The following is a 22797-nucleotide window of genomic DNA, read 5'->3' on the forward strand; positions in this document are numbered from 1 at the left end:
ACCACCTAATTAGGCATACCAGCTAACACATTATCCTCTAAAATGAACACTCACTCTGGTCTCTGCATGATGAAAGATGCTACCAAAAGGCTCACAAAAGGCATACTAGAGATCTCTGCCAAATATTTCTTAGTTTCTTCCTTCTGATTAACTTCCATCTTCAACTTACCCTGTACCCTGGGAGACTGATGTCCATGGGCGTCAAAAATGGGCTCCCTTGCCCTCAGGCTTCCAATGAAGCTCAGCAATGGGAGGTATCAGTAGGACATTAAGGGGAGGAGAGGAATGAGGTCAGAATGTTTACTGTCCTGATTCCTTCCCTGCCAGGTCCCATTGGTGGGCTCTGTCCCTCTCCCAAAGGCCACAGCTCCTATTAAGCAGCCACTTCTTATACCATAGCCAGTGGTACAGTAGTCTACCTTCTGTTACTAACACCAGAACACTGCCTCATCTCTTGTCGCCTCCCTTGAGGCTGCCTGTTCTCCCCCAAACATTCCTAAATTATATTGTTTTGATATATCATCTGTTTCCTATTGAGATCCTGATCAAATCAGGGTTAATCTCAGGAAATGGTAACAACACTTTTTGTTTTTTTGTTTTTTAAGAGACGGAGTCTCCCTCTGTTGCTCAGGCTGGAGTGCAGTGGCGCTATCTCTGCTCACTGCAACCTCCGCCTCCCAGGTTCAGGCAATTCTCCTGCCTCAGCCTCCTGAGTAGCTGGGATTACAGGAGCACGCTGCCATGCCCGGCTAATTTTTTGTATTTTAGTAGAGACAGGGTTTCACCGTGTTGCCCAGGCTGGTCTTGAACTCCTGTGCTCAGGCAATCCGCCTGCCTCAGCCTCCCAAAATACTCGGGTTACAGGCGTGAGCCACCGCTCCCGGCCTAACAACGCTTTTTTAAAGCACTACCACTGTGTGATCATTCCTTTCACTCCCATTCCTGAAGTCAATATTGACCTAGAATATAGGTCCCTACAATTCTCCAGCCTTTCACAAACAAGTCATTGACCCAGTCTCTTTCCTGGATACAGCGGGAGTTTTCAATAGATTTTGGTTGTTAAATATGTAACAAATGATAATACAAAGTTTATAAAGTATCATCTTTGTTGGTCAATCGAATGACTTTTATAAATTCTTATAATAAAAAAGGTTTAATTAACACTTCAGTTTCATTTTTAAAACTGAAAGGAAACTGAGTGTGGTGGCTCGAGCCTGTAGTCCCAGCTACTCAGGAGGCTGAAGAGGAGAGGACCGCTTGATCCCAGAAGTCTGAAGCTAGCTTGGGCAACATACTGAGATTCCATCTTTTATAAAAAAGAAAAGAAAGAAGAAGGAAAGAAGGAAGGAAGGAAGGTAGGTAGATTGAAGGAAGGGCAGGAGAAAATTCAAGAAAGGAGGAGTAAAAGGGAAAATGTAATCTCAGAATAAAAGTAATAACTGGATGATATTTCAACTCTCATTCTCAGATTAGTTTCTAGCATCTTCTATTTTTTTCTTATTACATTCCTATACCAATTATATACAGAATTTTCAAAACTCTCCTTCAAAGTTCTTTCTAAATGTACATATGTTCTTTGGGGAAAGGGAAGGGTCTCATTATACTCTTCATAATAGTATATGTTTTATTAAAACTATTTCATGGCCGGGCATGGTGGCTCATGCCTGTAATCCCAGCACTTTGGGAGGCTGAGGAGGGTGGATCACGAGGTCAGGAGATCGCAACCATCCTGGCTAACACAGTGAAACCCCGTCTCTACTAAAAAAATACAAAAAAATTAGCTGGGCGTGGTGGCGGGCGCCTGTAGTCTCAGCTACTCAGGAGGCTGAGGCAGGAGAATGGTGTGAACCCAGGAGGCAGAGCTTACAGTGAGCAAGATCGAGCCACTGCACTCCAGCCTGGGCAACTGAGCGAGACTCTGTCTCAAAAAAAAAAAAAAAAAAACTATTTCATTATGGGGAAAGCTAGCATTCTGACTCTATAATGATAGTAATACATCCTTGATCCCAGAGGTATATTATTTTTGTTTACAATCACTCTGGGAAGGAAAAAAGACTTGTCATTTCATCTTGCTTCCTAGAAATCAAAATAACATTTTAAAAATATGGATGATACTGTGCAGATTAAGAATCTGGTCCTAAAGTAACAAACATGTTATTGATACCAATTTTTACCATCAAGGAAAAAAAACTCCTACCACAAACATTAAAATAAGCCATAATTCTGTCATCTCCCAATAACCACAAGTGACAGCTCAAAGCCAAGACATTAGACTATAAGGAACACTTTATTTTTGTAAGGAAAATGTGGTAGGCAGAATTTGAAGATGATCCCCAATGATCCACACTCACAATTCCTGCCCCATAAGTGTGGTGGAACCTGTAATTATGAGGAGATACCACTTCCAATTTAGTTACTAACCGGTTAGAGTTAATCAAAGGGAAATCATCCTGGGTGGGCCTGATCTAATTAGGCAAGTGAGTCTTTTAAAGAAGGTGAAGCATGAGACATATTTCTGCTGGACTGCAAGAAGAAAGCAAACAGTTATGTTGTGAACTACTTACAGAGAAGACTATGTTTAAGAGCTGAGTAAAATCCCCAGACAATAGCAAGCAAGAAAATGGGGACCTCAGTCATATAAGCACAAGAAACTGAATTCCACCCCGCACAGCAACCATCTTTTAAAATTATGTATTTGGAGATTGTTTCAATTAATAGATGTCTGGCCTTGTCAACCAACTTTGTAAAAAATTACCTTTCTTTGATTTTCAGTTTCTCTGCCAAAAGTTACCTCAAGTTGTGGGGTCAGGAGGTGGGAGACAGAATGAATCTGTCTTTCATCATTCACTTAAAACACAGAAGATTCAGCTCTTATATATTTGTAAGATTTTATATTAAGAAAAGATAATTTGGTGTTCAAAAAAGATGACTGAAAACCATTGCCATAGAAAAAATTCCTGCACATGATAAGATGAAATAAGATGATCCTAAGGTTCTCTTAAGCATCAGCTCTAAAATTATGAAAATTTTATATTGTGATGATTCTAAGAACAATTACAGGTAATCTGGTTGCCAATAAAATAAAAACATGAGTCATGTTTGAAAGGGCAATGTTGCATATGTGTCTTAATTTCTCCGGTCAACATGAATTTAATTTAGAAAAAAATAATCTACTCCAATGGGGCATTTTCAATAGTTTCAGCAGACTTAGATTTTTAAAATTATTTTTATAGTGTATTTGAATTTGCTATACGAAACAACTCTGATATCTTACTGTCATGCTTACTAAGGCAAACTGAAGAGTCTCCATAAGACTCAGGATACAAATAGATTTTTTGTATTTAAAATCCAAATGAACAATTAACAAACCCCCCTCCCAAAAAAACAATTAACAAGCCATATTTTCCTAAATGCACACAAAACAGCATGTGGAGTGAACTTACCTGTCAATGAAATTACCTTTCTAATAAACTTGCATACATTTGCTTCAACCTTTTTTTTACAGATTGTTTGCCTTTTAGAAAGCTAGCCGAATGTCATCCATGGAGCGTTACATTACTGCATGAAGTATCAGAAATGGAGAATACAAACAGCATTTCTCATACAATTCTGACCAGTTTAATTTGGTCTATTACTTTTAGGACAAAATCAGAGGGAAGTGAAAAGATCCTTAGCAAGTGGGCAAGAGCAGGCATCTAGGAAAGCTGGCTTGCTCTTCTAGACATTTTAATGCATGAATGTACTAGAGAAACATTAGAGGACAAAGTATCTTTGACAAATGTGCAAAATGCACTTAATCCTCTTCTTGAATTGAAGGTCAAAGGAAATAGATAAATGTGATCCATTAGCGTGAATACTAATAGAGTTAGGAACTACATTTGTACATTCTGAAAGAACAATTTGAGTATTAGGAATTGAATAAAAATGTCATTAGAGATTTTTGAACCATAATGAGTTGTCTAAGCCACTAGCTTTCCCCTTCCGGCAAAGGCCTAATGTCTGTAAGTAGATTATAAAGGTTCCTGCTATATCAACAAATGATATCCTAAATGACAGATATTTGAGACTAACTATAAAAATTGTTTCCAGAAAATAGGAAGAAATCCTCCTAGAGTCAATTCAATTTAACAAATAATTTATCGTACCCCTATAGGTAAGTTAACCAGGCTAGCCACTGCAGGAGAAATAAAGAATAAACCTTAAGCTCCTGACAACTGGGAATTTATAATCTAATAATAAAAAATGAGGCAAATACAAAAATAGCTGTATGAGCCTGCCTTGGTGGGTCACACCTATAGTCCCAGCTACTGCGGAGGCTGAAGTGAGAGGATCGCTTGAGCTCAGGAGTTCAAGGCTGCAGTGAGCTAGAATGGTGCCACTGCACTCCAGCCTGGGTGACAGAATGAGACATCTCAAAAAAATAAAAAATAAATAACTGTAATTAAAAATATATATTATTAAAACACCATGAAGAGGCTTAGAGCAGTACTTTTTAAACTTTAATGTGTACATGAATTACTGTAAATAGACAGTTTTAAAAACATAGATTTTGATATTAAGGGTCTGAGTGGTCTAGGAGCTGAGATTCTGCATTTCTAATACATTTCAGGTGATGATGCTGATGCTGAATTCTGAGTTTCAAAGCCTTAAGGTAAAATAGATGGAAGACATCAGCCCAAGTAAGAACAGGGAAGAAAAGTATGGTCATGACAAGAAGAGATAACATGGTATTTCAGAGGACTCTTGAATAGGTGGGATTTTTGAGGAAAAGGAAATCAAATGTAAAATAAATCAACCAAAGAAATGTGCTTTGCTTTTTTTTAAACTCATGGAGTTTTTTTACTTAAGGTAAATCTTAATAATGATTATTAAGTCTATTGTTTTAAAAGAGCTGTCTTAACATTATCTGTAAAGACAGAATAGAATTTTATTAATATGCCATTCCTAATAACTTAGGTGGTTTCTAGACTTTGCAAAGTCAAATATCTTCACACAACTACAATTTTTAAATCAGTGGTTCACAGCATGGGCTCAGACAAGAAAGCTCGACAGAAGCTGAAACTTGTAGACCCGATTCTGGATTATATCCCTGATTCTGGATCATGTCTCCCACTCCCCCATTCTTGGACAAGGCTGCTCCAAATGTTGGCAGCCACATCCATGAAGAATGGAGGCAGGATATAGAATATAGGTATATAGGGCTTTTTTTCCCCCTTAAGCAGCAAAGAACTCTTAATCTCTACATTTTTTCTATTGCTGTGAAACAACTTACTATAAACTTGGAACCTTAGATAACACACATTTTACTATCTCACAGTGTCTGTAAGTCAGAAATCCAGGCATGGCACAGCTAGGGCTTTCACTCAAAGTCTTACCAGGCTAAAATCAATGCAAGAGCTGGGTGGCATTCTCAGTTGGAATTCAGGGTCCTCACCCAAGCTCATTCAAGTTGTTGGAAGAATTCAGTTCCTTGCAGTTCTGGACTGAGGACCTTTTTTCTTGCTGGCAAAAGGCTAGCTCTCAGCTCCTAAATGCCACTCTCATGGCCTAGCCATGTGACCTTCTCATAGTGTGTCAGCTTACTACTTGAAAACTACCAGGAGAATCTCTTTCTCCAGTCTGCTAAAATCTGGTCTCATATAATGTAATCATAGGAGTGATATCCCATCACCTTTGCTGTTTTCTATGAATTAGAAGCAATTCACAGGTACTATTTAACTCGAGCAAAGTAAGTAACCAGGAGGCAAGGATCATTGGGTGTCACCTTGGGGTCTGTCTGCCATAGTCAAGACAGTTCTTTCTCAGGAACTATGACATTTGATTGGAGACTGGTAGAATGAAGAATCAGTTATGTGAAGGCAGTGGGCTGAGGAAGCAACCACTGAGAAAGAAGGAAGGGCAGAGAAAATAGGGAAGGAGGTAGCCCTTAAAATGCCTGCCACCAGTACCAATATCAGATATCTTTTAATTCATCACTGGATGCTAATGGATATGAACAAAATACATCACATAAGTTTTATAAGCCCAACTACCCAAATTTCTCGACCATTTCATCCATACCCAAAGAGGTATGCATCAGTGTGAAAGAAAGACATAGAAAAAATACTGTATATCTTCCTGGAGTGTCAAGTTTATATGTGGTAAAATTACTAAGTAATTTAAATATCCTTAGTTTAAAAACAAATATATTTATAGAATGTGTATACAAATGAAGAATACAAAATTTATACTAATTTTTTAGATAAGACTTGAAGACTCAAAGAAATTTCCAGTTTGAGAGTACATTACACATTTCTCTCACTGTAGTTAGGGAAGCTGTGCTAGAAAGGCTTGAGACTATGCTATTTTGAGTCTACTCTGTACTTTATACCTCATTAAGTATTAATGAGGGAAAAACTCACAGGTGAAGACATAAATTTTTAAACACATTGTATCAAATGTAATGCACATAAGCATTTCACTGTAGTCTCTGAAAGGCAAATTGCAGACCAAATTATTACAAAGGCAGTTTAAATACATATATACATATATGTGCAGTCAGATATTGATGCCTAGGTTACTGTACTTTACAATTATCCCACCCAATAATTAATTTTCAGTGTGGTGATAAAGGCTTTCTGTTTATTTGTTCTGGGTTTTGTTTTTGTTCTTGTCCTTTAAGCTCCAATATGTATCCTATGTTTTGTGGCATAAATTGCTAATGGTACTCCAAAATCCATTCTCTCTTTTTTCCTTATTAACAAAATCTTTGCCTGGACACCCTGCACATTCTAAGCTTCCTTGCAGCTAGATGTGGTCATGTGTCCAACTTCCGGTCAATGTCAACAGTAGAGTCCTTAAATGGAAAGGATGGGCCTCCTCTTTTTTTCTTCTTTTTCACTGGCTGGAATGCAGAGCGGTCAGGGTGCACTATTCCAGATCATGTGAATGGGGGTAATACCTGAGGGATGGTGAATCAATAAGATAGAAAGATCCCGGGACACCAACACAATGGTACTTATCAGTTCTGGACTGCTTATAGTCTGGTTGTAATGTGGAAGAAATGTAAACTTCTTTTCTATTAAGCCCTTGTAAAGCTGGGTCTTTGTTAGAATAGCTCAACTCATGTCCTAACAAAATTTGACAGCCAGAAGTAGTTGCCACCTAATAGAACCTGTAATATGTGACACTGACTTGGAAGTTGAACGGCAGGTGCTGACAAAACAAACAGTAAGATGAAAAGCTACTGACTCTTTCTAAGCCACACCAAAACACTTAGTATGGATTGGCTACTTCTTGCTGTTCTCAACAAAGTCCTTCAAGAGAAATAACCTCAGCCTAAATAAAGCAGTCTCAGGCAGACGTCTAAGTGAATTCAGCTCTACTGAGGAAAGTCCACACCACATACAGCTTGAAATCTAAGTTGACTTTACCATGGGGCTTTATAGGGTTTAAAAGCCAGGTTCTTCTATATTCCTTACTAACCCAGTTAAAGCAAGAGGTTCAGAAGACACAACCTAAACTGACATAATCCTGGGACCCTAACAGTTTCTAGCCAGACAATGGGAGCCTGTCCAGAAATCAAAATGGTAAAGGTATTACCTTCTCACCTAAGCATGGAGGTAACTGTCATTGATTAAGACACTGGAGAATTGCAGAACACAAAGTCCAACAATTTAAATCCAGAATTTTTAGCTGGGGAAAAAAAAAAAACTATCTTCAGCCATGGTTACTTGCATTTGGAGTTAATCTGCACAAATAGGCAGAAAACTCAATGAGTTTTTGAAAGCATGCAGTAGTTACACACACACACACACACACACACACACACACACACACACACAAGCTTGGACTGTAAAAGCCTATGACTGTCCAACTCAAAGACAACCTCTCAGGCCCCCTTACATGTATCAGCAGGAAGTCAGCTTTGAAAGCTATCCAACCCCAAGAAAACAGTACACTTTCCAATGTCCACTTTAAATTTGGCCATGGAGAACAACAGACAATAGAGAACCTCCCAAAGGACATAACCAGAACCAGGGAGAACAAGTGATTTTCTCCTCCCCAAAGACAGTGAGGCAAGCTTGCCAGGAGGCTAACAAAGATCTTTTTCTACTGCCAGGATAAAAATCATCATGATTCCCACATACAGGATTTGACAGTTGCTAAGGACAAGTAACTGCTAGGTTTCCTATCTTCCCCTTTCCAAATGGAGTATCTTTATCTTGCTTCTCCTCTGCTGCTGTCTTTTGGATGTGTTACCCCACCCCTACTTATACAATGGATACAGTATCCACTGTATATTGGATCCGTATGTGGGCCATTAGTAGATGGCAAAGAAATTAGCTTTCAGATTGGATGTTCCAACCACAAGAATCCACATCAGAACTTGGGGAGAGAGCTGACTTCCCATCTCCCAAGTACAATAAATTATGAGATGGATGAAACGTGGTGAGGGAGTAGAGATGCTCCATGGATGAAAAAGACAGTGCACATGGCAGTAACTGCTAAATGTCTCCCCAAATGCATATTCTTTTTCCTCCACAGTAATAGGGGTCTTAGCTAGGTATATGGTACCCTCTTTTGCTATAGGTGGTAACGTGTGACATGAGTTCTGACTAAAAGGCTGCAAGAAAAGTGATGTGTGCTACTTCCAGGTCAGTTCTTTCGAAGAAAAGAGCAGGTCCTCTATTGGAATTTGCATGTTTGTCTCCCACAAACTTCTGGTTGAAGTTTGATCCCCAGTGTTGGAGGTGAGGCTTAATAGGAGGTGTTTGGGTCATGGAGGTGGATCCCTCATGAATAGATTAATACCCTCCATGGCGGGGACCGGAGGCAGTGTGAGTGAGTTCTCTATTTGTTTCTGTAAGAACTGATTGTTAAAAAGAGCTTGGAATCTCCTCCCTTCTTGCTTCCTCTCTCACCATGTAATCTCTGCATAATGCTGTTCCCCTTTACCTTCCATCGTAAGTGGAAGCAGTCTGAAGCCCTCACCAGAAGCAATGCTTCTTACAGCGCGCAGAACCATGACCAAATAAATCTCTTTTCTTCATACATTACTCATCTTCAGGTATTTGCTTATAGTAACAAAAATGGACGAAGACATTCTCCCTGTTCCTCTTCCTGCTAGGCTGTACACATGGCAGTCTCCATCCATACACATTATATCAATATCCTAGGGACAGCAAAGCCACAAGATAGAAGGAGCCTTAGTCCCCAGCACTGCAGATTCCCTACTAGCCCTGGACTGCAATAATAATTTCTCTTATTTACACACCTATTGTTTTGGATCTCAGAGCAGCTAAGTCTATAATCTAACTTACACATGCTTATAAAACTATGACAAGAAACTTTTACATTTGTTGTAAAGATATATCTCTAGAATGGCTTTAAAATCCTATTCCAACTAAACTTCTGGTTAATTTAGATTGTGATTCACTACACAAAAATCAGTGTTTTGTAAAACCATTTACTACCAGATACAGTGCTAAATTACTCCTTATTTTAAAACATAGGAAAGCTCTAAACATACTGAAACCTCACTGAAAGAAATGCATTCTCTAATAGAAATTTGTAAACACAGGTAAAAATGCCTTGAATTCTAAAATCTGGGAATTGTCCAATTTTAATGTAACACTTCTTAATATGTAAATTTTGTATTAGTACATATATGTTTTAGAGTTTGTTAGAACTGAAACTTTTCATCAGTTAATTTTCCTCTATTTAAAAAAAAACTTTAAATGTAAATGTCTGTCATACAGTGTAATATTTACCAATACAGGTATTTGGTTACTTAATATTTATTCAGTAAATACACATACACACACACACACACACACACACACACACACATATATACATACATGCTGATGTCTCCTGAAAGCCTAAGAACAAAGAAAAATAGTTAATAATATTGTATATGTCCTTGATGTTTCACAGTTCACATATGCTTTTATGTACCTCTAATATACAAACACTTGCTTTGTCCATTTAAGAGTCTGAAATCAATAAAGGGCAATATGGAATCATCCATGACACAAATTAGCTCAAAGGAACAACATGTGGTATAAACTGAGAAATAATGTGCACCATGGTGAACTTGCCAGATGCCCTAACTGGCAATTAAAATACAGGCTCCCATGCATCTATTTTCAATGGAGTCTGCTTGCCACTGCCACCAGTCCATAATACCCAAAAACCAAATCAAATTTGTGAGCAATTTATACCATAAAAGAACTTTGGAAGATAAGACACATTTACCGTAATCAGATATCTTTTCCATTAAGCTCCAAGCCATGCCAAGATTTTGGGACCAACTGAGAGAATGACCACCTTCTTCTAGGAGCAGTACAATATATCCTTATCCATTACTCTTTTGGAGTGCAGGGCATTTTTTTTCTGAGGTATCTATTGTTATGAAGATGGATATCTTTTAAAATGTTAATTCACAGTAGTTTCAATAATTTAATTCAGGTTCCATTAATGACTACATATTTTGAAGATTTTTATATAGTGTCAACCCAACAGCCTATCCCTCTGCTCCAGATCTGCTGGGATGTCAAGCAATGTGGGATGTGAGATGTTCACATCTTCCTCTTCTTCCCACACTACCCCACACACTATACACTTTCCCTTCATTCTGTACATTTGTCTGTCTCCCACACACACTTTCAACCAAATTGTGTTTTAGGGACACTACTTGCATCTCAGATTCATCGTTGTATCTCTTCTCCCATACACCTAACCTCCTATATATAGCACTATGCTTCCCATCTGGCAGGTTCTTAGGAAAATGAGAGAAGTAAGACTATGGAAACTATTCAAAATGGCAACAACAACAACAAAAAAACACCTAGGTTTTTTCTCACTTGTGCAATCCACACACTGTAAAACCTTTACAAAGTATGAGTATTCAGATCATTCCCATTATATTTTCATAGAAGTGAATGATTTAAATAAGAATTTTTAATGGAAGGAGAAAATTCTGGTTTAAAAAGACAATAGCACTCAATTTATGCTAATAAGAGGTGAATGATTCAAGTTTACGAGGAAAAGTAGAGACAAACAGGATTACTGGATGTTAGATTTTATTTCCTTGAAGGTAGTCTTTATTTAGGAGACTAAAGTTTATTAAAAAAAAGAAAAAAATTAAAAACAATGAAAACCTAAGATCTAAACCTTGCTCCACCACAACATTGTGGGATAAACTTCATTTATGTTATACCAAACTATATTAAAAAGAGTATTCTATATAAAGTCATATATACACTGTAATGTATAACCTACAAAAGATATTCAACAAAAACTACTTGACTGATTGCTTTAAAGAAGGAAAAAAATATATATATATTTGTCAGAATTGAAAGAGATGATTAATAGCACTATTGGAAAAAAACAACAATATATGTCATTCAACAAGTGCCTACCATATATGCCAGTCATTTTATATGCATTATTTTTATTCAGTACAATAATCCTAAGAAGTAGGTATTAATTTTACAAGTTGACATGTGACAAAAGTAAAACATAGACAGTTAAGTGCCAGAGAGAGCCAGAATTCAAGCCAATGCATGTCTTATTCCAAACCCTGTGAGTATTCTCTAGGTCACACTTCCTGCCTAGCCACAGCCCTCACAATAGTGGTAACAGTATGATTATTATACTTGAGTAATTATGATTAAAATAATTGAGTGTAATTATTATACTGAAGTCAGGATAGAAGGAGCCATAGCTAGAGTCTCAGTGTAACACATACTGATTCCATCACTGAAACACAACATAAATCTGGAAAGACGAGTATCCTGTGCTGTGCAAATCTATTTGGTTCCTGAGCTTAGATAGAGTTTCAATAACAAGCTCTAATAGCAAGAAATTCCAAATCCATTTGGTTCTTAAGTTTTAGGTAGCAAATAGCAAGTTTGGATACTGAAGGATTCAATAAAAAAAATTTTTTTTTTCACTTCCTGAGTTCAGATAGCTACAGTTCAGTTGACAAGCGATACTATCTATCTAAATGGGTTTTATAGTGTGCTCCCTATGCATCCTGAACTAAATTTAGTGGTGTATACAGAGGAGGTTTAAGACATTTGGTTCACAGCTGGGCATGGTGGCTCACGTCTGTAATCCCAGAACTTTGGGAGGCCAAGATGGAAGAATCGCCTCAGCCCAGGAGTTTGAGACCAACCTGGGCAACATAGGAAGACCCTGTCTCAAATATAAAAAATAAAAATATAAAAAAGAATTTGGTTCCAAAGAGTTATAATCTACTTGGAGAAACAACTCTATCATACCTATGTATATGTAATCACATATATTAAATCTACAATAGTGTATGAAGTAAAAGCTAAATCAAATGCTAAAGACTGCAATTTTCGTTGTTGTTGTTGTTGTTGTTGTTGAGATGGAGTCTTGCTCTGTCACCCAGGCTGGAGTGCAGTGGCATAATCTCGGCTCACTGCAACCTCTGCCTCCCGGGTTCAAGCAATTTTCTGCCCCAGCCTCCTGAGTAGCTGGGATTACAGGCACCTGCCATTACACCCGGCTAATTTTTTGTATTTTTAGTAGAGACGGGGTTTCACCATCTCGGCCAAGCTGGTCTTGAACTCCTGACCTCATGATCCACCCACCTCAGCCTCCCAAAGTGCTGGGATTACAGGAATGAGCCACCGCACCCAGCCTTAAACTGCAATTTTTTAAAAGAAGCGATTGATAAAGATGGAAATAATCACAAAAGCACAAGTCAGGGGATAAGACACAGTAAATGTGGAAGGAAAAATCAGCAGGACCTGGGGATTAAAAGGATATTTCCAGCGAAGAGAGAGCAACATTAGTTAGAGCTAATTAACAGAGCTTAGAAAAAGTGCTGCCTGGCTTTTCATGAAAGAGTGACAAGAAGAGTGTGACATGAAGAATGAAAGAAAGAGTGACAAGAAGATTGTGACATAAATATATGTCTGGCTCTTCACACTGCCTGCAGCCACAGCATGCCTCAACCATCATTCTCCCAACCCCTGTTTGTATAACCACCAGCCAGTCCTACCAGGCTGCAGTGATGTGTGTGGTGCTTTTTGCTGCACATAAGGGAGATTACTCTGTTTGCTCAGCATTTCCTTGAAGGAGCTTTCACAAGAACATTTTCTTTTATAATCCAGTGGTCATTCCTTTGTTTCTTTGTGGCATACCCAGCTCTTGCACACCCTTTGTCAACCACTTATGTTTGCCAGAAAGTGAAATAAATGGCAGTAAAATAAATGCAAAGGCCAAAGTGAAGTGCATGCAAGTTAGAAAAACTTCTTCAGTTCAGGACAAGGAGGTAGTTGGTGCTCTTGTTGGTTGAGAGCATTTGCAGCACTGTGCACTCATATGTTCAAGTGCTGAGAGAATTCAGCACCATGTGTTACACTGGCTGTCACTGGTAAGACAATAAAATAAAATTCAGATTGTGGGAAAATATGTACTATTAATGAGCCATACTAGATGTTTACATAAAAAAGATCAACATTTTAAAAGAAATTTTAAAAGAAAAAGACAATAAAATAAAAAGATAATAAAATAAAATAAAAAGGTAATAAAATAAAATAAAGACAATAAAATAAAATTCAGATTGTGGGAAAATATATACTATAAATGAGCCATACTAGATGTTTACATAAAACAAGGATCCACATTTTAAAAGAAAATGTTTCTGAAATAAATAGCATTCTAAGGAAATTGCTGTGTAGGGAACCCAGTTTTTGGTCTTCTGAAGATCCTTCAGCCCTACCTGCATCACCTCCTAACCTTGTCAGCTGTCTCAGCCTCGCCTGGAGGGAGGGCTGAGCTCCTGGCACTGTGCAAGACCTGCAGCAGTATGGCACCAGACTTGGTCTGACTAGACTCACAAAAGCCCTTGCACTTCCCACCATTTCTAGACACAAATGAAGGCTGCTCCATGGGGTTGCAGGATCTGGCTTCCCAGTAGCTTCTGGAATGAGTAGCAGAACCCAGCAGGGCAGGAGGCAAATGCTAACCAATAGAAGGCAAGAGATAAGAAAAAGGCACAGATAAATTATTTCCCTTTCCTCCCTCCAATGGACTAATCCCAAATGAGTGTTTCCATATGGGTTGTCCAGAGACACCCCTGGTGACTTGGCTGTGTTCGCAACTCCATTATGTGTCACCTTGTATTTGCCATTCCGTCTTCTCTGCCTTGCTTCATTTTTCCCTCACTTCTGTTACACTGTTATTTCCCCACTTGGTAGAGCACAAGCTTCTAGGCACAGTTGTCTAGGAAACCCAGCCTAAGATAGTCAGTATTAAACTAACTGAGGCAATTTTTTAATGCTTTCCCAAAAGTATTAAGAGAAAAAGAATAAATTTTTAACTATTTCTGTGCTTGCAGTGGAGTGAGGAGAAAGGGAACTAATACAGGTTGGACATTTACAATGTGCCTGGCACTGAGGTTAATAACATGACATGAAATAACATGAAAATCACAACTGGGTTTTCATGTAATTTCATGTAATGTCATTTAACCCTCACAATAAACCATCCAATTTTATTGATGAAGAACAAGGAAATATAAATAGAAGTAGGCGGGCTTTTAACTTGGAACGCTGAGCTCAGCATAGCAATACAAGCATTGCAGCTTGGATTCAGTGTTGTAGTCAGCCAGACCAGGTCAGGCATATTCCGGAACTCAAGTATCTATACTACTAAACCAATCTGCAGGAAATCCATTAGTCCTCCTCATTTTGAATGCTTGGTTTCATCTCTTTTTCATTCCTCCATTCAGATGCTAATCAAAGCTCTGCAGCAGCCAGGCAGCGCTTTTTCTAAGCCAATTCTTCTGAAAGTCTTGCAGAGCATGCAATACATAGGTCATCTTCACATCAAATGCTGCAGTCTTTGTCTATTTACCGTTTTGAAGCAGAAAACCTGTTGAATTTCACCTAATTTAAACTTCATTTTCATTAACCAAATCTTTAAAGAAACTGCATGTGGCTCTATCCAAGCAATCCCTCTTACTGCTTTTGGCAAACGTCTTTATAAATAATTAGACATAAATAAAACATTGGCTTGCATTTTTGTTAATTTTGCTGTAGATTTACAGAATAATCACAAACACTGACATAGCACATGCTATGTACCAGGCACTGATTTACATAGTTTACATTAGTTCCAATCTTAAGACTGGAACTAATTAGTTACAATCTCAAGACTTGAAAAGATCTTAAAGATCTTGGAATACAACCCCAGTGACTGCTTAAATCCCCTCCATGATAATGTCACAAGAATATATTTCACTGAGTAGAAGAGCTCCCGCACTGGAGTCAGAAAACCCAGATCTACCACTTTTTGTCAGGTGATTATGTAATATTGGCATGGCAATTTCAGGTGTCATTGCCTTTGATTCTCACAGCGACCTAATATATAGTTACAGCTCTGAAATCTTCATCTCCATCCCAATCTCTTTTCTAAAGAAGGGATGGGGGGCGGGGGAGTTCCTGAAACCCCCATATATATCGAAGGACAACTAAACTTTCTTCACACATCTCTGCTCTTCCCACACCAATCCCTAGCTCCGTTAACGAGAAATGCTAGTCTTCCTAGCCTTCTTCTCTCTTACCTATCTCACACCTAATCCATTATGAAGATCTCATTGTGTCTGTGTAAAATCTCTCAAACCATCTTCCCCATCCCAACTATTAGCTCAGTTCAAAGCCATGTCTCACCTAGACAATAGCAATAATCTTCTCATTGTTCTCACTACCTCCGCTCAGCCCATTTCCCCGTCCACTACCATACATATATTTTAAACTGCTTTCCATAAACCTGCTAGAACAACCTTTTAAAAACATCAAATTTAGTAAAAATTCTAATTTTCCTATTTAAATCTCTTAGTAGCTCCCCATTACCTTTAAAGCTAGGCTGACTCATTTCTGCCTTCAAATACTTCAAGCTCTTTCTCTTTCCATTGCTCTAGAATTGTTCTATCCTCTGCCTGAAATGCCCATCCCCACCCCGCTCATCCCACCCACCCGCTTCTTCACCGCATTACTTCCGTTAGGCCAATCCTCATCTCCTAAGGTTAAAGCTTCTTCCGCCATGTTTCCATACCGCCATATTTCCATAGCATTTTCATTTATCTGTCTAGCTGTGTATTTTCTGTGTTCTACGACCATAACCTATGTCCTCAGTTATAAAAATCACCCACTTTCAGCCGGGCGCAGTGGCTGACGCCTGTAATCCCAGCACTTTGGGAGGCTGAGGCGGGCGGGTCTCCTGAGGTCAGGAGTTGGAGACTAGCCTGGCCAACATGGGGAAACCCGATCTCTACTAAAAATATAAAAACTAGACAGGCGTGGTTGCGGGCGCCTGTAGTCCCAGCTACTTGGGAGGCTGAGGCAGGATAATTGCTTGAAACCGGGAGGTGGAGGTTGCAGTGATCCAAGATGGCACCACTGCACTCCAGCCTGGGTGACGAGAGCGAGACTCCGTCTCAAAAAAAAAAAAAAAAAGAAGAAGAAAAATCACCCACTTTCTTTTTCTTCCTTCCCCCCGCCTCTCCTCTTCATTCCTTCCCTCTCTAAACACCCCACTCCAGCAATACATGCTTATCTAATTATGCTCTTAAAAAATTCCAGAGGCTAATCTTGAAACAAACCAGGCACAGGGCCCCTGTGGAATCCTCCCGCTTAGGGGGAGGCACGAACAATTAGTCCACCATCATCGGGACAAAGTCAACATAAGGCCAACCTGACCTCCGGACCAGTGATTACCTAAGATAGCCATCAGAACAAGGCACAGAGACCCCCGACCCTGTACCACACCCACATATATCCCATACCAAGTTGCCCTTTAAAAATCCTATGGTAAATTTTAAAATGTAAGAATGTACTTTAAAATGCTTTTTGGTTTGCTGGCTCTCTGATTAAAACCTGCTTTCCTTCCCAACCCTCACCTCTTGTGTTTGGTTTTTAAGCAGTGAGCAGTCAAATCTGGATTCAGTTACACCATGAGATCCCTAAGGTCCCCAAGGGTTTTCATCTTTTATCTTCAGTACAAAGCAACAGCCAAAACTTAATAAATGTGGAAGTAAATGAATGAACAATTCAACAATTGATCTTACTAAACAAAACGTTATATTTTTACGTCCCTAAGCAGGAAGCATAATGTTTTCCTCAGATAATGAATTAAAATGGTTAAGAAATAGAGTAATTATATGGGTACACACGTATATATACTTGCGCACTAAATTATTATATAATAGAAATTGAGGGGGCCTGAAAGAATACTTACGATAACTCCCTCATTTTATAGAGAAGAAAAGTCAAGCCAGGAGAGACGAAGTAATTTGCCCAAGTTCCCAAACTGGGGAAGACATATGTAATGTCTTTGGGTAGACATAGAAATATGTAAATATTTGCAGCATTATTCAAAAATAACCAAAAACTAGGCACAATGCAAATATTTATCAATTGGTGAATGAATGAAGTGCGGTATAACCATACAATCCAACACTGCTCTGCAATAAAAAGGAATAAACTACTGACACATGCCACAACGTGAATAAACCCCAAAAACATAATGCTAAGTGAAATACACCAAACTCAAAAGACTAAATAAATAGTGTATGATTTTATTTATTTAAAAAATTTCTAGAAAAGGCAAAATTACATAGAAAACAGGATCTGTAGTTGCCTGAGACCGACTATTTATTAGTAAATACAACAGAACTTCTTGACAAGTGTTTTAAAACTGGATTGTGATGATGGTCACACAACTGCATCAATGTACTAAATTACTGAACTATATACTTGCATTGGGTGAATTTTATGGTCTATAAATTATACCCCAATAAAACTGCTAAAATACTTGTTTTGGTTCTTTATAATGCATAGCATAATGTTTGTGTTCAATACTTTTTTTATTTGAAGAACCACAATTGATGGGAAATAATACTAAATTATTTTAAATTATAATGTCTACAGCAGTGTTTTTCAAAATATAGTGAAACACATATCAGGATAATATTGAGAGCTAGGTAAAACTACACACTCACTTCCACCTTCATTCTTAGCCCCCATCCAAACCACCCCCCATAGAGCTGATTCACCTTAACCAACTCTATTTTTTTCCACAGTACTTACCACCCTCTAATATATTATGTAATTAACTTATTTAATATGTGATTGCTCTTTTCTCTGCAGCGACTCCCAAGGCTCCAAGACAGTAGTACTGACATATTCCTATGACCCAGAACAGTTCCTGGTACATACTGTAGGTACTCAAGCATTTGCTGAATGAGTGAAATTCAGGTTCCTGAGCCTCACCGAAGGAAGCCAAACAAACTGTTGTAGTAGTAGGGCCCTGGGATCTATATCTTCACCAATTCCCCCAAATAATAACACGAACGTTTGGATCCACTGGCCTACAAAGAGTCTAGCTCTTCACACATGGCCATAGCAACTCAAGTGGTGGCAAAAATAATCTAATGACAGGCACTATCCAGAAACATGTAAATAGCTGAATGCAGAGCTTACAGACTTAACACAATGGTAGAATGTGTTCCTCAGATTTTGAGTATGACTTACAAAGTTTTGCCTCAACCACAGCCAGCCACACAAATCTGACACAATATTCTTAGCCAGACTTTTAAATTGTATGCCCAGGGGCTCTTCTATAACCACAAGTAAAATTGACATCCAAAAACGATTGTTCTAACTGTAATTCTGTCTTCAAACTCAAAGTAATTGACACATTCTTATTATCTATGGTACAACAATGTTGTATACACTATGCTAAATATGTACTTGAGTGTTCTAGGAAATTTACACTCTACATTTTAAAAACCATCATAGGGAGAAAGGCCATTGAATCTTGGTTTCAAGTGGCCATCTTTCGTACTGAATGATACTTCATGAAGAAGTTCTTTTACATGAACTCATGCACAAAGATATAAACACACAAAAAATAGGCCGGACATGGTGGTTCATGCCTGTAACCCCAGCACTTTGGGAGGCTGAGGCAAGAGGATCACTTGAGCTCAGGAGTTTGAGACCAGCCTGGGCAACACGGCAAGATCTCTTCTCTACTAAAAATTTTAAAAATTAAACAGGCATAGTGGCATGCGCCTGTAGTCCCAGCTACTCAGGAGGGTGAGGCAGGAGAATTGTTTTAGGCTAGGAGATCAAAAAGGAGATCAATAGAAGGTAGTTGAAGAGCCCAAGTGAGAGGATTACAGAAGTATCCTTGGAGTAAGAGGGTTACAGAAAGAGAGGGAACCACAACTTCAAAGGCCCTATAATGTGAATTTGGTTTTGAAAATATGTAATTCTGCTATAGAAGATGAATAAGTATATAGTTTACAAGACCTAGGTAACACTTTACCATAGAAAAGTAATCAGTAAATAAGTAGCTTGTGAGACAGGCAGAATTCATAAGATGCATTGAGTATAAAGGGAAATTCAGTCAGCCCTCTATATCCCCAGGTTCCACATCTGTGGATTCAACCAACCAAGGATCAAAAATACTCAAAAAAATTAAAAATAACACAATAAAAAAACAATAAAAATACAAATTTTAAAAATACAGTATAATGTCTGAGAGCGGTGACTCATGCCTGTACTCCCCACACTTTGGGAGGCTGAGGCAGGAGAATCACTTGAGCACAAGAGTTCAAGACCAGCCTAGGCAACACAGAGAAACCCCATCTCTACAAAAAAATACAAAGTGGACATGGTGGCATGCACCTGTAGTCCCAGCTACTCTGGAGGCTGAGGCTGCAGCATCACTTGAATCAAGGATGTCGAGGCTACAGTGAGCCAAGATCACAGCAAGATTCCATCAAAAGAAAATATAGTATAACAATTATTTACATAGCATTTATATTGTATTTTGTATTATAAGTAACCTAGAGATGATTTAAAGTATATGTGAGGATGTGTGAGTATATATGCAAATATTATGCCATTTTATGTAAGGGACTTGAGCATCCACAGATTTTGGTACCCACAGGGGACAATGAGGTATGGCTGGAACCAATTCCTCAGGGATACCTTGGGACATTTGTAGTTAATAAGTCTAGTATCTATCCCTAAATAGAGACAGAATGGAAGGAACAAGAGAAATCTACATTGATGAGGCACTAAATATGCAAAAAGCACCTAATATTCATGAAGTTGTAAATATAATGAGGTATCTGATGCATTTAACATTCATAATACATTATATAAACATGAGACATATGAGACACTCTGTATGCACGAGGTCTTAATTTGGTTATCCCACATCTTCTCTCCCCCAAGTAACAAATAAAACCCAAAGCTGCTCAGCAGGCTAATTGGCAAGCTACAGCTGAGGCCAGGCATACTTGCCCCTGTGTCTCTCTGATAGGCCCCTAGGCATCTTCCATGTGATTGGGCCTCTCACTCACCTCAATTCGGATCCTCTCTGCTGATAATTGGCCCTGCTGAAAAGATGGATTTCACACTTCTGACAACCAGTAGCAGAAAGCATTTATTTACTAGAAGTTGAAGGAATTAAAATATATTTTTATGTGACTCCACCCCAATTAATTTATTTTACATCTTACTGAAATTAAAGGGAAAGAAGGGGGATAAATTGCCACCATTTATCATTTATATATTTATTCTATTTACCACATGTACCTCATGTGCATAACATCGACACAAAGCTCTTTGCTAATAAGTGAAAACACTAATACAGAAACAAAGCCAAGAGAATGCTACACAAAAAATTCTTCCTGGTTTAGTGAAAATCCCTAGTCCTAAGGCTTTAAAGCTATTTTCCACGGTTTACAATTTTCTTTACTTATGGTTGAAAGTTATTAATGCTCAGCCTCTACTTTAGGTGATGAGAAGGAGAGCTGAGAGTCCAAGATCTTTTAAATACCAGAAGGGGAGAGTCTCTTTTTTTCCTTCAACTTCTATTTTACATTCCGGGGTACATGTGCAGGATGTGCTGGATTATTACAAGGTAAACATGTGCCATGGTGGTTTGCTGCACAGATCAACCCATCACCTAGGTATTAAGCCCAGCATCCATTAGCTATTCTTCCTAATGCTCTACCTCCCCTCACCCCAACCCCCAACAGGCCCCAGTGTGTGTTGTTCCCCTCCATGTATCCATTTGTTCTCGTCATTCAACTCTCACTTATGAGTGAGAACATAAGGTGTTTGGTTTTCTGTTCCTGCATTACTTTGCTGAGGATAACGGCTTCCAGCTTAATGACAGACTGGATAAAGAAAATGTGGTACACATACACCATAGAATACTATGCAGCCATAAAAAGAAAGGGAAGGGTCTTTAACTGCTGCTACTTGCTTGCTAATTCCAGTAATGTGCTGATAGAGTCAAGAACTATCACTAGGTCCAGAAATAGAGAAAGGCTGATTTAGGCTGAAGTTCTAGAACGTGACTATCTTATTTCTAACCAAAACAAAAAAGAGACATGTACTGCCAAGATGTGTAGTTCTGATAATGCATCAGAAATCAGGACAAAAAAAACCTAAAGCAGAAAATGACCAATTATACCAAAGGAGAAAACCATCTTCTGCTCAGGTTTCACAAAGGTTCCTAGAGACAAGTGATTTTTATATAATTATACTCATGGAAGCCAAACCAGAAGATTAATTTAATCCAAGAGAATAAATATTGATTGAGCATCCACTCATTGAAAAACCCCACGCTTGACACTTGTAAGACACAAATGTAAATAAGCTAAGAGTTTACCCTCACAGAGTCTGCATTTCAGAGAATACAGACATGTTCCTTTAAAAATGCAAGATAAAATAAGTACCACAAAAGAGAATCATAAGTGCTCTAGGAACCAAAAGGAAATGAGGTAAAGGCCAGACAGTATATAGTAAGCAAGGAAAAATAGACATTCATAAGGAATAGTAACAGTAGAAAACTTCAGTTTTCAAACGAGCTAAAAGATTAGAGAAGGATACAGGAAAAAGAACTTGTTTCCGGGTCAAAAGCAACAAAAATAATGACTGGGAAAATGGAGAAGTAAGGAAACAAAATTCTCAAGGTAAATTCTTTACCCAATTGTCTTGTCTTTTAAAAAGACAATATTTGGGGAAAAAACAAAAAACATTTCTAGGCTGAAAAATGCTTCAGATGAAATTTTAGTATGCCAAAGATTAAAGGGTGTTCACAATAAAATGTTATCAACAACAGTAAAGGCCAAGTTCCCATGATTCTACAGATACTTACTGAGGCAAAATCACAGTGTGGCCAGAAAGAACTTGAGAGTGCATGGGAGGAACGCTTGGCTAAGTACCAAAAACTGAATCAAAACCAGTGCCCAGAACATCTATCGAAGGCATGTCTTCATGAGAAGTGTTTAATGTTGTCACCACTTAAATTCTTCTCCAATCTTTTCAAGAAAAAGTATTTTGCTAGACATTTGCCTTTTAGAAATGGGATTTCAGGATTAGTAATGAATGCACTTAACAACTATATGTAATATTTTTTAAAAAAGGAGAACTGTAGAAATACATGAAAACCACAGCTTCTCCAAAACTTCATTTGAACCATTGATTCAATATAATTCCTTACCAAACTAGTTACAAGTTGCAAATATGCAGAGAAATAGACTAAATTAGACTGCATTCATGCATTCTTCCTACTCCTACCAGACAGGAAAATTAAATATATTGATAAAACAAAAACAAAATCAAACAAAACTGTGGCCTATCAAAACTGTATATTTGGACATTCTGGGTAATTGGCAAAGGGATAATCTGGCTCTAAGATAAAAAGGGTGACCGTGCCTCTTAGGAAATTTTATACAATTAGGAAGAGACA

General features: G+C 38.2%; 1 protein-coding gene across 33 annotated transcripts in view, besides 1 other annotated feature; it reads right to left on the reverse strand.

The window, feature by feature from the left end:
- The window catches only part of KIF21A (kinesin family member 21A), a 149893-nt gene that overhangs the window by 86154 nt on the left and 40942 nt on the right, over positions 1 to 22797 (reverse strand). The window lies entirely within an intron of this gene.
- Positions 14370 to 15046: an enhancer, noted in NCBI's record as "OCT4-NANOG hESC enhancer chr12:39787553-39788229 (GRCh37/hg19 assembly coordinates)". NCBI's record gives its function as "activates a minimal SCP1, AML or CMV promoter by ChIP-STARR-seq in naive and primed H9 embryonic stem cells {active_cell/tissue: H9 hESC(naive and primed)}" and the evidence as "EXISTENCE:reporter gene assay evidence [ECO:0000049][PMID:30033119]".

This window comes from Homo sapiens, chromosome 12 (genome assembly GCF_000001405.40).
Source record: "Homo sapiens chromosome 12, GRCh38.p14 Primary Assembly".
NCBI classification, from domain to species: domain Eukaryota; kingdom Metazoa; phylum Chordata; class Mammalia; order Primates; family Hominidae; genus Homo; species Homo sapiens.